The 19,687-nt window shown below is 40.4% G+C and overlaps 1 protein-coding gene across 1 annotated transcript; it reads right to left on the bottom strand.

Moving 5' to 3' along the window:
- Positions 4,460-10,313, bottom strand: LYZ (lysozyme). Its single transcript, NM_000239.3, has 4 exons — positions 10,150-10,313; positions 8,422-8,586; positions 6,396-6,474; positions 4,460-5,541 (listed from the first exon to the last, which is right to left on the bottom strand). The coding sequence occupies exons 1-4, from the start codon at positions 10,283-10,285 to the stop codon at positions 5,475-5,477; spliced, it is 447 nt and encodes a 148-aa protein (NP_000230.1). The 5' UTR covers positions 10,286-10,313; the 3' UTR covers positions 4,460-5,474.

Genomic DNA, 19,687 nt, shown 5'->3' with positions numbered 1-19,687 from the left:
CTACTAAAAATACAAAAAAATTAGCCGAGCGTGGTGGTGGGCGCCTGTAGTCCCAGCTGCTTGGGAGGCTGAGGCAGAAGAATGGCGTGAACCCGGGAGGCGGAGCTTGCCTTGAGCCGAGATCGCACCACTGCACTCCAGCCTGGGTGACAGAGCAAGACTCCGTCTCAAAAAAAAAAAAAAAACAAAACAAAAAAAAACTGAGTATTGATCCCCCCTCCCCCTCAAAAAAAGAATTACATTTAGAAGGATGGGCTTTGGAGAAGGGTACTATGCTTGATGGGGATGGAGGAGGAGGAAATAGAGCTTAATCTTTAACTTCCATAGTAGGAAGTCAGTATCTTAAAATGGAAAAATCAAGAAGAAGCAATATAGGTGTAATATTGAAAAGCATGGAGATAAATATTTTAAAAAATAAGCTAAAAGAGTAGAAAATACTGCTGATTGTAATTTTTAGTAATTCCACTTAACAACTGTAAAGAAAATACTTTTTAAAAGACTTCACTAAATAGAAGTGCAAGGGATGTGCTCAGGGCTTAGTTATATTAGTGCCACATGAAGAGCTCAATTGTCATATGGATGTCACTGCATTTCAACCAAGATAGGAACTGAGTTTCTTTGAAAATGATCAAACATTGATATTGATTTTTATTCTGTTGCCAGAATAAGAGTAGAAATTTGGTTTGGGGGCGTAATTATATTTAAAACAATTGGTATGACTAAGAAATATTTATCAAAAACTAAAGCAAAATCTCCAACAAACATTGCTTTCCCTCTTCAGTCTACTTTGTCTAATCTCTGGCAGTTTCCTCAATCAGCCTGTGTTGTTGGGTTATCCTGGCACTTCTTGGACATGTCCTATCTCTGTTTCTCAGCTGTCACTCTTCAACTCTCTCTCCGCTACCTTGACTCATCCTTTGTACACCTCAGGGTATCTCGATATGCATAAACTCATTCGTTTTTAGTTTAATCACGTCAGAATGGTCCAAGAATTTTGAAGCCAAAGGTTGCACCTATGTAGTGGCCCTCTGCTGCCCTCACATGGCTAGTCTATGTGCTGCATTTACATAGCCAAGAAGTGGCTTGGAACCCCGCAAGCGGTTGTACTGGAATCATGTGGCCTTGAAGAGTTAATTAAAAAAAAAAAAAAAAAAAAAAAAAGGCTGGGCGCGGTGGCTCGCGCCTGTAATCCCAGCACTTTGGGAGGCCAAGGCGGGCGGATTACGAGGTCAGGAGATCGATCTCCTGACATGGTGAAACCCCCTCTCTACTAAAAATACAAAAATGAGCTAGGCGTGGTGGCGAGTACCTGTAGTCCCAACTACTCGGGAGGCTGAGGCAGGAGAATCGCTTGAACCCAGGAGGCGGACGTTGCAGTGAGCTGAGATCGCGCCACTGCAGTCCAGCCTGGGTGACAGAGCGAGACTCCGTCTCAAAAACAAAAAGCTTAGAATGTTCAGTTTGGAGGGAACATACTAAATAATCAGCAAGAGATTTATTCGATCAACTGATATTGATTGAGCATGTACCATGTTCCAGTCACTCTTCTAGGTGTTTAGAATACAGAAGTGGAATGAGTGAAAAATTTCTATTCTTCCTATCAGGACAGTGGTTCAGCATATTATAAAATCAGAGATGTATCATGGTAAGGAGGGTGTCCAGGTGTTGGGGAAGGAAGCAACCCACTGAGGGATGTCAGAGCCTGAGTGGAGAGCACTTGGGCAGAGTTGGGGAATTGGTTACATACAGGCAAACCCATCAAATACGTAAATGTACTAAGGATACATTTTAAGGATAATGAGTATAATGGATGCTAAGTTACTTACTGTCAGAGAAGAGAGTTAAAACATGCGAAAGAAGAAAACTAGAGTGAATCCTGTGGTGTGAGATTAGAATTGGAGATATTGGTGTGGATTCATGATTTTCAATATAAATAGATAGATATAGAGATAAATATAGTGTAAATACATATATCTTCCAGCTCTGTTCACTGATAGGGCCTGGAAACAGTGATACCCTAGTGCCCAGATCCTGTTTTTTTAATACTATTATGCACTTTGAGGAATCAGGGCTCCTTGGAGAAATGCCTTTTCCATTTTTGGAAGCAAGGAAGGAACAAGGTGAGCCTTAGAATATCTTGTGCCAGAAAACAAGAAAGTGCTTGAAGAATGATGGAAATATGTCGAAATGGCACAGAAGACAACTTGCAGGGGCTCACTGGCCAAATCGAGGACAGTGTGAACATCAAAATAAATAATAGTAATGGACTATAACTCCTTATGATTTGAATAAAATAGAAGCCATGGGTCCATACTGATATAATAAATAAATGCATGACCAGGCACGGTGGTTCACACCTGTAATCCAGCACCTGGGAGGCCAAGGCAGGCAGATTGCTTGAGCTCAGGAGTTCCAGACAAGCCTGGGCAACATGGCAAAACCCCATCTCTACTAAAAATACAAAAATTAGCCAGGCATGGTAACGCGTGCGAGTAGTCCCAGCTACTCAGGAGGCTGACGCGGGAGGATTGCATAAGCCTGGGAGGCAGAGGTTGCAGTGAGCTGAGATCGCGCCACTGCACTCCAGCCTAGGCGACAGAGTGAAATCCTGCCTCTAAATAAATAAACAAACAAACTGAAAATTTGATGAGCAGTAGTCTCAAGGCACCTCCTCCCCAAATACTTTACAGTGAAGATGGCTTGCAGGCCTCACCTTAATCAAGTGATCCAAGTGAACATCATCAATAATGGGGCAAATCAAAACTGCAAAAACTGAATGCCACCTGAAAGGATGCAGTGAGAACATCACTTCTGTGGTATTCCTACCAAAGATGCATAACTTAATGGAATCGAGAGAACACCAGAAAAACCTTAGGTACATTCTATAACATAACTAGTCTGTGGTCTTCAAAAGTGGCAAGGTCATAAAAAGTCCAGAAAGAAACAACTGAGGAAATAATCCAGATTCAAAGAGACTTAAAAAACATGACAACCAAATACAATATGATTCTGAATTAGATGCTTTTGTTATGAAGGTCTTATTGGGACAATCGATGAAATTGAGTGGAATCTGATGACTAGGTGGTAGTAATGTATCAGTGTTAATTTCCTAATTTGGATAATTGTTTTGAGGTTTTATGCAGGAGAATGTCTTTATAGGAATTACACACTGATGTAATCAGGGCCATTGGGTATCATGTTGGCTATTTACTCTCAAAACAGTTCTGAAAAATAAAAGATCTTTGTACAGTACTTTTATATTTTTTAAAAGATTGAGTTTATTTCAATGTTTTTTTAAAAAGTGGAAAAACCTCTGTCATTTTGGAAGTTATATTTTGGTGAGAAGAGACAAATAAGTAAAATATGTAGTATATAAAATTATTATAGACTTGAGCCCTGAGGCACTCTCACATTTAGAAATTAAATAGCAGAGAAAGAGTGAGCAAGAAGGACTGAGAAAGAACAGTCAGTGAGGTAGGATGTAAATAAGGAAAAGCCAAGGGATTAAAAAACTGCTAAAAGTATGAAGCGGTTCACTTTGTCAAATGCTGCTGAGATGAACAAGATGATCACTGGAATTAGCACTGAGGAATCATGGGAGAAATCCTGGAGGAGCAGTTTCAGCTGGGTGAGGATAGAAGCCAGATTAGAGAGGGTTGAAAAGACACTGGGAGGTGAGGTCATGGAGTTGGTAAGTACAGACATACTTCCCCAGAAGTCTTGCTGTAAAGGGAGCAGAGAATGGAGTTGCAGTTGGAGGATTATGTAGGGTCAGTGGAGTATTTGTTGTAAGATGGAAGGTTACTAGGGCAGACTGTAGAATGATGGAGGTGATCCAGCTAAAAGGGACAAACTAGGGATGCAGGAAACAGCCTGACTTGGAGTAGTGAGAGGGATGGGAGGGAAACTGCATGTGGAGTCAGTGCTGTTGGCAGGAGCAGAGGCTCTTCATCCTGATAATAGGAGGGAAGGAAGGAAGGATGGGCCTGTGGGAAGGTATGACTGCTGCTTTGGGATGTAGAAGGGAAAGCTTGGTATGAAGTTGCTTTTGTTTTAGAAGTGTAATATGAGGCCAGGTTATCTGCTGAGAGCAGAGGAGGGTGGAGGATAAGGGGGCAGAGGAGGAGGCTGAATGTGTGTCTTGAGGCTTTGAAGAGAGAAGAGGAAAAGTAAAATAGTAACAGTCATTTTGGAGACTAGGGACATAAAAATGGAAGGATTGTAGAGAAGTAACTAAAATGGTCAGGCAGACTTGAGGGCTCATTTGAGATTTATGGTTATGAATTTAAAGTGAGACCTGTCAGCATGCTTGTGAATTTTTCTCCAGCAATATCTGACTATTTAAGTGAGGTAAGTGACGATATAAGAGATATTAAGAGCACCAAATCATATTTTTTCAAATATCTGTATTCTTTTCTTCAGAGACACTATAGGAGTCTAAATAAAAACAGACAAGGCATGTGTTGCAAAGCCTTTAATTAGAATGTTTGTATTTTTTACATCATGCATAACTTCACATTTGTGATTAATTAGTAATTATTTCAATACTTGTAAGCTCATCTGCCTCAGATTTAATCATAATACATGAATTAAATTAATCAAATTAAGGAACAGCAATTTAGAAAGAAACACACTTTAAGAAATCAAAATTCTCAATTCAGGCAGTCTGTTTCTATCATTTGGTATTCTACTCCTTTAAAAATTTCATATTGCCCAACAAAAAGTGGTTATTTTTACTGTTTTTGGAGATGACTGAACAGATGAAGGCATCAGATGCCTTCATCAGCTGGTATTTTGCCTAAGATCTATTTAAGATAACCTTTTCTTATATTTTTTACTTAATATTGGGCATAATCGTATCATTCAAGATTAAGTCTGGGTTATTTCTTTGATAAGAACTGAATGTGGCCGGGCGCAGTGGCTCACGCCTGTAATCCCAGCACTTTGGGAGGCCGAGGTGGGTGGATCACAAGGTCAGGAGATCGAGACCATCCTGGCTAACACGGTGAAACCCTGTCTCTACTAAAAATACAAAAAATTAGCCGGGCGTGGTGGCGGGCGCCCGTAATCCCAGCTACTCGGGAGGCTGAGGCAGGAGAATGGCGTGAACCCGGGAGGTGGAGGTTGCAGTGAGCCGAGATTGCGCCACTGCACTCCAGCCTGGGCGACAGAGCGAGACTGTCTCAAAAAAAAAAAGAACGGAATGTACTGGAGATGTATTTGATAACCAAGGTTTTAGGTAAATTTTCACCAGTATTAGTTCTATTTGCAAACTGAAAAATGTTGTAGGCTTAATGTAAAATAACCACATTAGTGAACATTATATCTCTTAGAAGAAAGGCCATATTTTGCTCCTGCTTCTGTAAAAATATTATTTGTTTGAAGGGGAAATAATGGTAGTGTGACCTTTCACTTAATTCCTACTCCCTTAATGTGAGAGAGACAAAATGAGCTGAAGAAGGAAAATTCTGGAGTTACACTCCACAACCTTGAACATACTGACGGACATCTCTGTTTTGACAACGATTTCTCCATGCCACCCTGTAGAAAAAGATGAAGCAAATGGTGAAAGGTTAAAACATATCTTCATTGTAATATACATACTTCGCACTCCTTGGGGAAACAAAATATTTTATCAATAGATAAAATAGTAAGATAGACCCAGCTATTGCTATTTATTAAATGAAGATATGTATACAAAATACTTCACTCCTACCCAAATTTCTCAGTAGAGCATAGAATGCCGAACATAAAGATTGAGTAATGTGCGTTGTACAGCAGCAACTGCAAAGTGAATTCCACATTTATTTTTTATGTATTTATTTGAGACAGAGTCTCACTCTGTCGCCCAGGCTGAAGTACAATGGCGCAATCCTCTGCAACCTCCACCTCCCGGGTTCAAGCAAGTCTCCTGCCTCAGCCTCCCGAGTGGCTGGGATTACAGGCACCTGCCACCACACCCAGCTAATTTTTTGTATTTTTAGTGGAGATGGGGTTTTGCCATGTTAGGCAGGCTGGTCTCGAACTCCTGACCTCAGGTGATCCATCTGCCTCGGTCTCCCAAAGTGCTGGGATTACAGGCGTGAGCCACTGTGCCCGGCCCACACTTACTTATTCTAAAAAGAATTTCAAGATATGACAAGGAACTGATAGAGTGTGAAGCATCTTAAAACTCTAGAAATCCCCTAAAATAAATTGAGGAGTAAAAGAGTAAGATTCTGGATCAGTTAAAGTAGATTGTTTCTTCAAGGATGTAGGTAATACATCATTTAGCATAAGCCAAAAGCTGCAATTTTGAGGTGTCATTAGCATACTTTGGTCTTTAAAAGTCTGCTCTCATTGTATATATCAACAGTAGAGTAAGATAGTTTTCCCTTTTAACACTTAAAACATACCATGCTCTAATGCCTTGTGGATCACGGACAACCCTCTTTGCACAAGCTACAGCATCAGCGATGTTATCTTGCAGCAAAGCTGAAAGACAGGTGGTAAGGAATAAAAACTTTAATAGATATTTTATTTTAAATTTAGGTTTAGCCAGCTTTTTTCTGTTAGGCTGTGGAAAGAATGGTAAGATATTATTTTCTATGAGTCCATATATGTGTAATTGTTGGGGAAAACTCTCTTCATTCTCTCCCATTCAGCATGAAATGAAGCATTTTTTTCTTCATTTACCAAAGTCATTGGAAGCTCTGGAAGTATTAACAAAATGATTAAAGGTCTTCTTTGCACTAGACACTGTAAAAAAACACCTAGTGATATTTTACTCAGCAGTTCTATTATTGAAAATTTATCCAAAAGAAATAAGAAATGCACCCAAAGATGTATACAAAAAGCTATTCATAGCAATTTATGAGGGAAAAATGGAAACAACCTAAGTGCTCAATAGTAACAATTGGATCAGTAAATTATAGAATATTCATATATTAAAATTCTAGTCATTCTTTTAAAATGATGATACAGATTTGTATTTTTTTCTCATCTGGAAAATGGAGCAAAAGATCATTAAAAACCGATTTGTATTTGCTGACATGCAAATAATTTTGTGTGATAAGAAGCAAATTGTAAAGCCGTGTGTATAATACAATTTAATTTTTGCAAAAGCACACAGTATTTACATGTTTGTATGTGGGTTTATATGTGTATGATATAATTTAACATTCATACACATGATTGATATACATTCTGGAAGAATATATACCAGAATTTACCCATGGTTATAAACCTCTGGGTAGTAAGATTATGGGTGTTATTTTTCTTATTTGTATTTTCTAATTTTTATTTAATGACCAAATATTATTATATAATATAAATTTTTTTAATTAACTGGATTTTAGAAATAAGATTAATGTTCTTTATTGGGAATTTTAATATTTAACAATTTAATAATATCAACTTTGCAAGATTTCTGCAATATTTTTGACACTGAGGATTCCACATGGTATTTCTATTTTTATGAGTTCAGTAAAATATTTGTTTCACTCCAAATAAATAAATCCTTAAGTTAATTTGTTATTTACAATAATAATTCTACAGGAACTGTATTTTTTGAAGATGTAAACTAAAGAATTTAGAAATGGAATATCATCATGTTCCTAATTCACTTAAAAGTCTCTCAGCAGTAGCCAGGTACAGTGGCTAACGCCTGTAATTCCAGCACTTAAGGAGGCTGAGGTGGGAAGATTGCTTGAACTCAGGAGTTCAAGACCAGCCTGGGCAACACAGAATTTGCCTGTACTAAAAATTTCAAAAATTTGCCAGGCATGGTGGTGCACACCTGTAGTCCCAGCTACTTGGGAGGCTGTGGTGGGATGATCACTTGAGGCTGCAGTGAGCTGTGATGGTGCCACTGCACTACAGCCTGGGGACAGGGAGACCCTGTCTCAAAATAAAACAAAACAAAACCAAACAAAAAACTCTCAGCAAAAAAAAAAAAAAAAAAAAAAAAAAAAAAAAGGCATAGAAGAAGCAACTATGGCAAAATGTTAACAACTTTTAAAGTGCATAATGGGCATATGGCTGTTTATTATACTAATGTCTCTAATTTTCTATACATTTAGAACATTTCATAAAAAAAAAAGTAAAACAATTGAAAAAGGACCATACAACTAAATTATCCCAAAACCTCCCCAAAGTAAGCAGGAGCAATGGCATTGTTCTGGACAAAGCATCAGTAAGGCCATTGACAGTAAATTAATAGGTCATTCCAGAAACTTCTGTATATTAAAAAACATCAACCTTTTATGATACCACTTCTTTAATTTCTTACTCAGGGAATTATGAGGAAAATAATAATGACTTTCTGGAAGTTGAGATGTAGTTTTTCTAGGTCCCTCATGAACCTTTCAAGGCTTTTTCATTTGTATTGAGTCTCAATTCTTGTAAGTATAACCAGATTGGTCAAATATTAGCTTGTCTTACCACTGCAGGATAAATGACAGGCATTAACTGCTCCTGGGGTTTTGCCATCATTACACCAGTAGCGGCTATTGATCTGAAATATCCCATAATCAGTGCTTCTGTCTCCAGCATTGTAGTTTGTAGCTCGTGTGTTGTAACCACTCTCCCATTTGGCCAAACACATCCCTGAAAAGAACTTATTTTTAGTAATAAACAGCAACACTAAGTGACTTATACTCTATAGCAAAATCAGTTCTACTTAGCTACTTCTATTTTACTGATTTGTTTTATAAGTATAAAGATTTACTTATAAAATATCTTAGCACTTTAGTGTTAAGATAAGGGACTTGTAAGAGAATCCTTTTGTAATGCAAATCATCTTGTAACACCAACGAACAATATAACATACTTTTAAAATATTAAAATACATGTTTGTTCCATTGCTTTTACCCTTCCCGTGCTCCCATCCCTCAGGCAACATTCAGCCAAGAACAGAAAAATCAACAGAGCTGTTGAGTAGATTTTGTAAATTCATAGCAGATACATAGGCTGATGGAAAAATGCTTTTTTTAATCAGAAAAACATAAGGATTTTCTGATAGAAATTTTCTTATAATATCTAAAGGTGAATTTGGATATCAAGTTAGAATCTTGAAAACAAGACTATTCCGTGATTTCATCCCTTCACTCATTCATTCAAAAATAGCTATTGAGGGGAAATGTCTGAATTCAATCTGAAAACTACAGAGATTATTACATCGACAACTATGTACTAAACTATAAAATAACTTTTCCTCATGGCACATCTTGAATTGTGTGGGAGAAAATGAAAGATAGTTAATCAAGTAGAGTAGATAAAAATAATAAAACATTTCATGCTGAGTTTCTGGGATCCTATACAAAGAGTGACTGAAGGGAACTAGGTTCCTACTGCTCTTGTGTAGGGAATTCAATATATTCTTTAAAAACATCACTGTTAAAAATCCCATGTCGGCTGGGTGCAGTGGTTCACACCTGTAATCCTACCACTTTGGGAGGCTGAGGTGGGCAGATCATTTGAGGCCAGGAGTTCAAGACCAGCTTGGCCAACATGGTGAAACCCCATCTGTACTGAAAATACAAAAAATTAGCTGGGTGTGGTGGTACACACCTGTAGTCACAGCTACTCAGAAGGCTGAAGCACGAGAATCACTTGAGCCCAGAAGGCAGAGGTTGCAGTGAGCTGAGATCATGCCACTGCACTCCAGCCTGGGCCACACAGTGAGACTGTCTTTAAAAATAAAATAAAATAAAATAAAAATAAAAATAAAAATCCCACATCACGGCAGGGGACTTGAAGACAAGAAAAATACTGCATCACTCTAGGCTCTCAGAGCCCAAGTTCAAAATGGGAAATAACTGGAGTCACATACCAAGGACTTGAGAGAGCTCTGCCAGGTCCTCAAATGTATCTTTCAGTCAGCTTACATGTGCCATTGAATCTCAGGCACCCAGCAAACTTCCTAGCACTAGAACAGTACAACAGGTCCTGTTTTACTTAGAATGGAATTTTCCCCTGCCATGCCCGTATTCCTTTATCGGGTATCTCTGGTTATAAAGAACCAAACTGATGTTTTTAGCCATTGTAAGTATACAAACCCACAAAGAAATAAAACATCTATTCACTCAAAGCCCCTTCTTCTTCTTCCTTCTCTCCTAGTGTCTGTTCCATACGTAGCTAATTCTCTGGAATTATGGAGAGTAGACTTACAGTTTGCTAGGCTGATTCCCCTGTAGCCATCCATTCCCAATCTTTTCAGAGTTCTGGCCAACTCACACCTTTCAAAGACCTTGCCCTGGACCGTAACAGAAAGGAGGACAAGCCCCAGAACAATGAGAGCCTTCATGTTGACTGCTAGGTCAGAGTGCTAGGCTGACCAGGGTGAGCTGGCCCCAGTATTTAACATCTTTTAACTTCCTTCTTCCCCTTGTGGTTTGGGGGCTCCACCCTTTCAGTTGTGTGGAAAACAGGAACTGTCTATTGATCCACTGACTCTAAAGAGATTTTTTTAATGCTTGAAGAGAGATATGCTGATGTCCTAAGAATTAGTCTACAGGAAAATAATGAAATGGAATTGTTTAAAGTACTGGCTCTGGAAGAATTGGGGCATAGCACTACTTCCAAGACAGGAACTTTCTTCTGTTTGATTATGAATTTGAGCAATTATAAAGAAAAAAATGACTATTTTGTGCAGCTTAAAATGAGCTGTGATTTTTGAGTAACATTCAATTTTGTGAAATTGTTTTGTATGCATTCACTTTTTTATATTTATCTTTTTTACTTAAAATTATTTTACATATCTTTTCCACAAAATGGACATGACACATGTGCCTGTTGTCTTAATGGGTGTATAGTGTGACACCACGTTGCTCAGCTAGTTTCTTACTCTAGACTCTTTTTGTTACTATAGCAAATTTTTTATTATTATAAATCAGTGTTTTACTATTATAAATAAGGTTCATGTGAACAACTTTACCAACTACCTTTTTTTTTTTTTTTTTGAGATGGAGTCTTACTCTGTCACCAGGCTGGAGTGCAGTGGCGCAATCTCAGTTCATTGCAACCTCTGCCTCCCGGGTTCAAGCAATTCTCCTGCCTCAGCCTCCCAGGTAGCTGGGACTACAGGCATGTACCACCATGCCCAGCTAATTTTTGTATTTTTAGTAGAGACAGGGTTTCACCATGTGGCCAGGATGGTCTGGATCTCTTGACCTCGTGATCCGCCCGCCTCGGCCTTCCAAAGTGCTGGGATTACAGGTGTGAGCCACCACATCCGGCCTACTTTACCAACTACTTTTCACAATACTTTGCCTCCCCTTTCCATATTAGAACATAAGGGGTCATTAGAAAGCAACAGCATTTTAAAAATAAAACCTACCCAAACATATATCCAACTAAATGCTACCTTTGAAAATAGCAATCTCAGGAGGCTGTGCACAGCTTTTAAAACAATGCTACCAGAACTCAAAAAGAACTGCACTTCTGTATCTGCCTAAGAGGACAGATTCTGAGCCACACAAAGTGTCATCACTTTGTAGTTACCCTTATTTTTCATCAGTGGCCTCTAAAGATTACCAGATTTGGTTTTAAATGACAGTTCAAGGACCCTGTTCAAAAATCAAGAATAATCTCATTTTTCAGGCTAGGCCTAATTTTGATTCTTCAATAATAAATAGGGCCAGGTGCAGTGGCTCATGCCTGTAATCCCAGCACTTTGGGAGGCTGAGGTGGGTGGATCACCTGAGGTCAGGCGTTCAAGACCAGCCTGGCCAACATGGTGAAACTCCGTCTCTACTAAAAATACAAAATTAGCTGGGCGTGGTGGTGCGCCTATAATTCCAGCTACTTGGGAGGCTGAGGCAGGAGAATTACTTGAACCCGGGAGGCGGAGGTTGTGGTGAACTGAGATCACACCACTGCACTCCAGCCTGGGCAACAGAGTGAGACTCTGTCTCAAAAAAAAAAAAAAAAAAAAGAAAGAAAAAAAAAATGGCCAGCTGCGGTGGCTCATGCCTGTAATCCCAGCACTTTGAAAGCCCAAGGCAGGCTGATCACCTGAGGTCAGGAGTTCGAGACCAGCCTGGCCAGCATGGTGAAACCCCGTCTCTACGAAAAATAGAAAAATTAGTTGGGTGTGGTGGTGGGTGCCTATAATCCCAGCTACCTGGGATGCTGAGGCAGGAGAATCGCTTGAACCGAGGAGGCGGAGGTTGCAGTGAGCCGAGATTGTGCCATTGCACTCCAGCCTGGGAAAGAGAGTGAGACTCTGTCTCAAATAATAATAATAATAATAATAATAATAAATAGTGAGACAGATTTTCAGGACCCAAAGAGACAGAAACCAATTAAAAGAGTTAGTCTTGGCTGGGCGCAGTGGCTCATGCCTGTATTTCCAGCACTATGGGAGGCCGAGGCAGGAGGACTGCTTGAGACCAGGAGTTGGAGACCAGCCTGGGCAACATGGCAAAACCCTATATTTACTAAAAATAAAAAAAAATTTAAAAATGTGCTTGTAGTCCCAGCTACTCGGGAGGTTGAGGGTCAGAGGATCACCTGAACCCAGGAGGTTGAGGCTGCAGTTAGCTGAGATCGTACCACTGCACTGCAGCCTGGGCAACTAGAGTGAGACTGTGTCTCAAAAATAAAAAAAAGAAAGAAAGAAGGAAAAAAAGAGTTAGTCTTTGGTCCCCTTTATGCCGTTCCCAACTCAATACTAAAGAACAGCCAGTTATTACATATGCTGGTTTCAGCCTTATGCTGATAAGATTAATTTTTGTTTTCAAATGTTTAAATAGTTATGACCTTATACTTTCTTGGAAGTGGAACAAGCAAATATTTGCTTGCCAACCTGAACCAAAGTGATAGCATGTTATCATGTGACTACTGCAAAGGGAAGAAGTGTTTTTGATCCCCTTAATTATCTCCCCTGGGGAAGAAGTTAAGGGCAGTTATAACATCCATTTATAATCCTGTCATTCCATTTGAGGTAGGTTTAATGAGCAATCTATTTAAAAATAAAATAGCAAGTAAGCATGATTTGAGGGCAGAGATAATTTTTCTTCCTCAGAAATTTTGTATGTACTGCATGTTCTTTTTGATGCAATGTATGCATTTTATCTTTTTAGGAAAGTTGCTTACAGACCCTAGATTACTTTGTTGTATTACAATGGGCAATAGTCATGATTTACTCAACTTATTTGTTTCTCAAGATAGAGAAAAATAATTATTTATGGTGAGTGTTGGGGGCTTCAGGCCTAGGAAAGGGAATTTGACCAAGGGTTTCTCACACTTTTGACTATTCCCCAAAACTAAAACCATCCTGAAAAGATGGAGATTTGCCATAATTTAAGATATTCTAAAGAATGTGCTATAGCCCTCTGTTTTGTTTTGTTTTTAGATAGGGTGTTAGGCCAGTTTTGTTTTGTTTTGTTGTTTTGGAGACAGGGTCTTGCTCTGTTGCCCAGGCTAGAGTGCAAGGGCACAATCTTGGCTCACTGCAGCGTGAACTCCTGGGCTCAAGCAATCCTCCTGCCTCAGCCTTCCAAGTAGCTGGGACCACAGGCGAGTAGCTGGGACCACAGGTGTGTGCCACCACACCTGGCCAACTTTTTAAATTTTTAGTAGAAACACAGTCTTGCTGTGTTGCCCAGGCTGGTCTTGGACTCTTGGACTTAAGCAATCCTCCTGCCTCAGCCTCCCAAAATGCTTGGATTACAAGCAGGAGCTACTGCACGCAGCTCTGTTAGGCCATTCTTATGTTGTTATAAAGAAATACCTGACACTGGGTAATTTATAAGAAAAGAGATTTAATTGGCTCATGGTTCTGCAGGCTGTTCAGGAAGCATGGCACCAGCATCTGCTTCTGGAGAGGCCTCAGGGAGCTTACAATTATGGAGGAAGGTGAAGGAGGAACAGGTATTTCACGTGGTGGAGCAGGAGCAAGAGAGTTGCCGGGGGTTGGCGGGGGCCACACTTTACAACAACCAGATCTCGTGAGAACTCACTCACTATCACCAGGACAGCACCAAGCCACGAGGGATCTGCGCCCATGACCCAAACACCTCCCACCAGGCCCCACCTCCAACACTGGGGATTATAATTCAACAGGAGATTTGGATGGGCACAAATAACCAAACTATATCACAGGGTCTCACTCTGTTGTCCAGACTGGAGTGAAGCAGTGCAATTATGTTTTTTCAGCTTTGATTTCCCAGGCTCAGGTGATCCTCCCACCTACAGGCGTGTACCACCACACACAGCTAATTTTTCATTTTTTGTAGAGACAGAGTCTCGTTATGTTGCCAAGGCTGGTCTTGAACTCCTGGGCTCAAGCAATCCTCCTGTCTTGGCCTCCCAAAGTGCTGTGATTACAATCATAAGCCACTAGGCCTTCTGCTGAAAGTGGTGGGATGGGCACACAGGTTTCTCTCTGTTCACTTTCCAAATTCCATTAAAGTATCAACAAAAGGAGTTTGAAAAGGTATAAACCAATAAGGGCAAAGGAAAAGCAGAAGAGATGATAATAGATGAGAAATGTCAATAAAAGTTTATAATACAGAGTGGTTGAGTAGTAACTAACTTAGGATAATGGAGAAAGCTGACACCTGAGTGCCTGGAAAAAGGGAAATCAATACAAAGCAAACTAGTTTGTGCCCTAGATCCTGGAAAAAAACTCAGTAATTCTGAAGGCAGGACTGCACGGCAGTGCTATAAACAGGAAGACAGGTTGGAAATCTGTATATGGAACAGTTAAGCCCCAGATTTTCTCCCCCAGACCAGGAAACCAGGTTGCTGCCTTTTCCCACCCTAGAAGAAGGATGAGAAGATCACTCTTTGGAGAGGATGAACCAAAGACTCTGGACTTAGGACTCAAGGCATGACTAAAGACAGGGGATAATGCCATAATGAAAATAGGGGCATTAAATGCAAATCTGCATTCTGAGCAGTAAGCCAGTCACCCAGCTCTCAACCTGCCTGAACTGAGCTCCTTGATGTCTGGCTGCCAAAACCACCTCCCAGGCAGGAGCCAATAGGATCCTCTCTGGAGTAAATGTCTGAACCAGGAGAAAAGACCTATAGATATTAATATTTGGGGCCCACAGTGAAATGGCCAGTCTTGATCAATTGCCTGTGGTGAGACGTACCCAGGCTTACAGATTTTCTGCTCAGCTCCTTGGTGCTTTGTATTACTCTTACACAATCAGTGGAGGATACTTGATGAAAGACACTATTGTGAAAGACAGAGTGACATTAATATCAAAAGAAACATTTCGAGAAGAAGAACTCAAAGGAAACAGAGGCAAAACAAAATAAGACATAAGCTATAACGAATATCTCAGGGAGATAAGAGAAAATAAGAGAAAGAAAGGGAGGGAGAAAGAGAGGAGTGTGTTTTAGGCCTTGAAGGGGACTCTAAGAGAGAAGTTCCAAAAATATTTTAATCGATAGTGGAATTACTAAAGTAAGGGTGATTATTTTGAAGCCTTCCTCATTCATCTGCATATATGAACTCTGTCATATTTGTTGAGGCAGTCATGTTACTTTATCATCATCTTTCTTCTGCAGCTCATCTGTACCCAGATCTGTGTTCTCTTAAATTTCAATGGAAATAAGCGAAATATTTTCACAGAGCTTCATGAGCAGCATTCAGATAACATATAAGCCATGTAAAAATTAACTAGAAAGAATATCTCAGTACAGTGTTCTTTTGGTAGGGTCACTTTTATTACACAGTTTTTTAAAAAAAGATTTAAAACTCTTGCAAGAATAGCATTTATATTTCCTGGAAGAAACACAAGTTGCCATGCTTCCAGAATGCTACCTCCTATCCAGGCTGTTGTTTGGAAAACAAGTTCCACTGAGAGAGGATAAGCTGGGGAGGGACTTTCTGAGGCCGCTGGGTATTAACGAGGCAAATTTGGTCATATCTAGGGTGATAATGGTAGCAGATTCCAAGACTGGTAGCACTCTGCATCTCACTCCCATGTGGGGTCCAGGGCAGTGGCAAGAAGTCTCTTGGATGGCATGTAGTTGTTGGAGAAATTGAACACAAATTGCCCTGCCTTGGGCATCAACAAAGCTTGGAAAAGGAGCCTCCTGCCTTTGAATGACCACGTCAGCTTGGGCAATAACCACTGTCTGAATAGCTCAGGCATGACCATGACAGGCTGAAGCTCTAAGGTCTTCCCCAGGTTTTCTGAACTTTGTAGTTTTTTGAGACTCCTAGAAGCTCCTGGACAGGACATCAGCTTAAAAAGTTTAACAAAACTAACAATGCCTCACCACACGGGGGAAGAGGTGCTTAGAGACATATTTTGTTAGATTTGGGAAGAAAGCAAAGTGATGTTTCTTACGTCCATTTATGGTATATCAGATCTATACTAACCACACTATTTGATCTAGACTTGCTTGCTCTGATTAGAATGTGATTGGAAAGCAGAAAATGAGATGATTCCTGGGGGCTCTAGGGATTAAACTATTTTCCTGAAACTAGCTCGTTGGTGTCACGATTCAGGTCACCATTAGCTCCAGAGGTAACCCTAGGTCGTTTTTTTTTCTTTCTTTTTTTCTTTTTTCTTTTTTTTTTAGAGACAGATTCTCACTCTGTCACCCAGGCTGGAGTGCAGTGGCACAACATAACTCACTACGTCCTTGAATTCCTGGGCTCAAGCCACCCTCCTGCCTCAGCCTCCAGAGTAGCTGGGACTACAGGCACGTACCACACACCTGGCTAATTATTTTAATTTTTGTATAGATGGGGTCTCTCTTTGTTGCTTAGGCTGGTCTCGAACTCCTGGGCTCAAGTGAGCTTCCCACCTCGGCCTCCCAAAGTGCTGAGCTTGTAGGTGTGAACCACTATGCCCAGCCAGTGTTTGGATTTTCAATAGCTCACACTAGTGAGACAGACCTCTCTGTCTTTATAATCTTGTTTCACTATAATTTATGTCATTACTATAGATTTTTTGTTCCTGCAATCTTGTTTTTGCTATTAGTATTAAGTAATTAAAATATTACCTGTGTCAGTATATGAGAAAAATGAATTTAAAAACCCTCAGAATGTCACTGACGCAGGTAAATCTAAATTGTGTTAATGGAGAGAAGCACTGGCATGGCTTTTGTCAGGGTGTGCAAGTAACCACTTGGTAGTGAAGCAGTGCTGCTTCCTCGAAGTTATTGAGGACGTTGGGATACTGTGGTTAGGACAGCGGCATTTCACTCATGACTCAGCTGAGGCTGCCCTGTGGGGTTTGGCTTAGGGGTGCAGAGGACCTAGTCTCATTTCTGTTGTGGCAGCGTGGCTGCTAGCAGAATATGCAGGGAGTGAGAGAGTTGGGGTGTAGGGAGCAATACCCTCTGACTCTCTGGGGGACACTAGATGCTGAAAGGTTAAAGTGAAGTAATTACTCTCTCAACTAATGGAGGTGCTGTGTACCAGTCTCGTGAAACAGGACGAGCACCCCTCCAGCTGTCCCCTGCAAGTCCAGGAGCCTGGCCACGGGTCAGAATGGCTTCCTTGTGGGAGCAGTCCCTGTGAGGAGTAGGACTTGACCCCAATCCAAAGGTGGCATTTCGTTGGCTCCTGAGGCACATGGGTTGCTAGGAAATGGTAACTAATTTAGGCTTGGCTAATTCAGATTAGTGTATTTTTTCCCAAGGATTAGTTTTGTTTTCTTTCTTCCCGTTGTGACTGGCATGCAATCTGTTCTTTTAGCACTCAATATCCCTGTAATTTGAGGTCCTGCTCATTGCAAAATAGATCAAACAAGCTAGATAATTTCCTTCCCAGGTTTTCTGACACCATCCAAACTGCAGAAATCATCAAACTTTAATTTATGCTATGGTCTTGCTGCTGCATTTTGGGTCAGGTAACTGGTTAATTCTGAAAGGAAATAATACTATTCACCATACATCCGAGGACTGGGTAATAGGGAATTATTTCTACTATATTGCCAATACTGTGCTACAATAGTCTCTAGCAAAAGCCACATGTTACTGTATTTAAAATCTGTCACTTGATCACTTGGCCTAATAAGTAGCACTAGCCTAGTAAGGGTATTGCCAGGCTCTGCCATGCATTTTACCTCCACCCACAGAGGAGAATTCACCATTTCTGGTATTTGCTGTGCATTTACTCTGTTCTTTGCCTTCTCTCTTGCCATCTCTTCAATCTGCTATGCCCTTCCCCACCTACTCTGCCTATGGAAAGCCTCCTAATTCCGCAAAGTCTTCAAGAAGTACAAGCCAGCCAGGGGACTGGAGGAATTGAGGTTAGGTGGGCAGTGTTCTAAATAGAGAAAGTCATATAAGCAAAGGCAGAGAGCAAAGAGAGTAGGCCATATCTGAAAGAATCACTGAAAATAGTTTTTAAAAAGTAACAACATTTCTGTTAAAGGGATAGTTAGAGTTAAGACTCTTTCAGAGTTATGTTTAAAGTTCAAAAACACTTTTGTAAAGGCATCCTGGCTTTTAAGCTCTTAAATTGCTTTTAATATGCTTCTTACAGTTGTTGCCTTTGCCATGTGCCATACTCTCACGCACTTATTGGGAAATAATTTGTTTGACAATGCTTATCTAGCAGCTACTAACTGCTAGGCAGCACCGTGCAAGGAGCTCAGGTTCTGGTAGGAACTAGGCAGGTAACATCCTTGCCCTAATAGAGTTTGTAGAATAGTAAGTCATGCTGATTGAAAACAATTTTAAGTGTGGTGAGTACTTCAGAATAGAAACAATGTATTTATAGAAGAAATTAACAAAAGTGATAAACCTGTCTAGGAGGTTCTAATTGAGACCTGAATGATGAGTTGTAGTTAGCCAAATGAGAGAGGTAGGGAAATTGTGGAGAGAGAGTGGGGCTGAAACAGCATGTTCTAAAACCCAGAGGCAAGAGGCACGAACAGGTTGATGAAGACCCTGAAAGAAGTGCTAGAATGTCTGGTAAAGACATTTAGACTTGGCTGGGCACGGTGGCTCACGCCTGTAATCCCAGCACTCTGGGAGGCCAAGGCGGACAGATCATGAGGTCAGGAGATGGAGACCATCCTGGCTAACACGATGAAACCCCGTCTCTACTAAAAAATACAAAAAATTAGCCAGGCATGGTGGCGGGCGCCTGTAGTCCCAGCTACTGGGGAGGCTGAGGCAGGAGAATGGCATGAACCTGGGAGTTGGAGCTTGCAGTGAGCCGAGATCGCACCACTGCACTCCAGCCTGGGCCACAGAGCGAGACTCTGTCTCAAAAATAAAATAAAATAAAAAGATATTTGGACTTTAAATCTGTAAGTGCTAGAATGTCTGGTGAAAGACATTTGCCACTGGATAAAGTGGCAAAGAGAAATGAGATTGAGGTCAGGGTGGGAGGGGCAGGACCACATCTAGGCACTTAATCCCAAAGAGAGTGGGATTTAGGATTTAATCCCAAAGACAATGAAAAACTATTCATGAGTATTAAAGTGGAGAGTAACAGCCTCAAAATTTTTAAAGAAATCACTCTATATTGGCTTCAGAGAGAATTGCTAGAGAACTGACACATAATCCAGATGGCAGGTGATGATTGCCTGTGGAGAGAACTGAGAGAGCTCAAGAGATATTTAGGAGGTTGAATAGTCAGCCTCCTAAACTGGTGATTACTCAGACTGTTTGGAGATTAAGAAAAAAGGGAAAGGAAACAATACTAGCTTTTGTTTATCACATACTTACAAAGTGCTAGTCCATTAATAAACATTACCTATAATTCTTACAGGGATTTTAT

The sequence above is a fragment of the Homo sapiens genome, chromosome 12 (genome assembly GCF_000001405.40).
Source record: "Homo sapiens chromosome 12, GRCh38.p14 Primary Assembly".
NCBI lineage: Eukaryota > Metazoa > Chordata > Mammalia > Primates > Hominidae > Homo > Homo sapiens.
This window is presented reverse-complemented; position numbering and strand designations above follow the sequence as displayed.

Coding starts and splice junctions, on each gene's coding strand:
- LYZ (NM_000239.3), bottom strand. CDS start 10,285: ATGAAGGCTCTCATTGTTCTGGGGCTTGTCCTCCTTTCTGTTACGGTC. Junction 8,587..10,149: donor GGGAATCAGCCTAGCAAACT/GTAAGTCTACTC, acceptor AGTTCTTTTCAG/GGATGTGTTTGGCCAAATGG. Junction 6,475..8,421: donor CTGTCATTTATCCTGCAGTG/GTAAGACAAGCT, acceptor CCTGTCTTTCAG/CTTTGCTGCAAGATAACATC.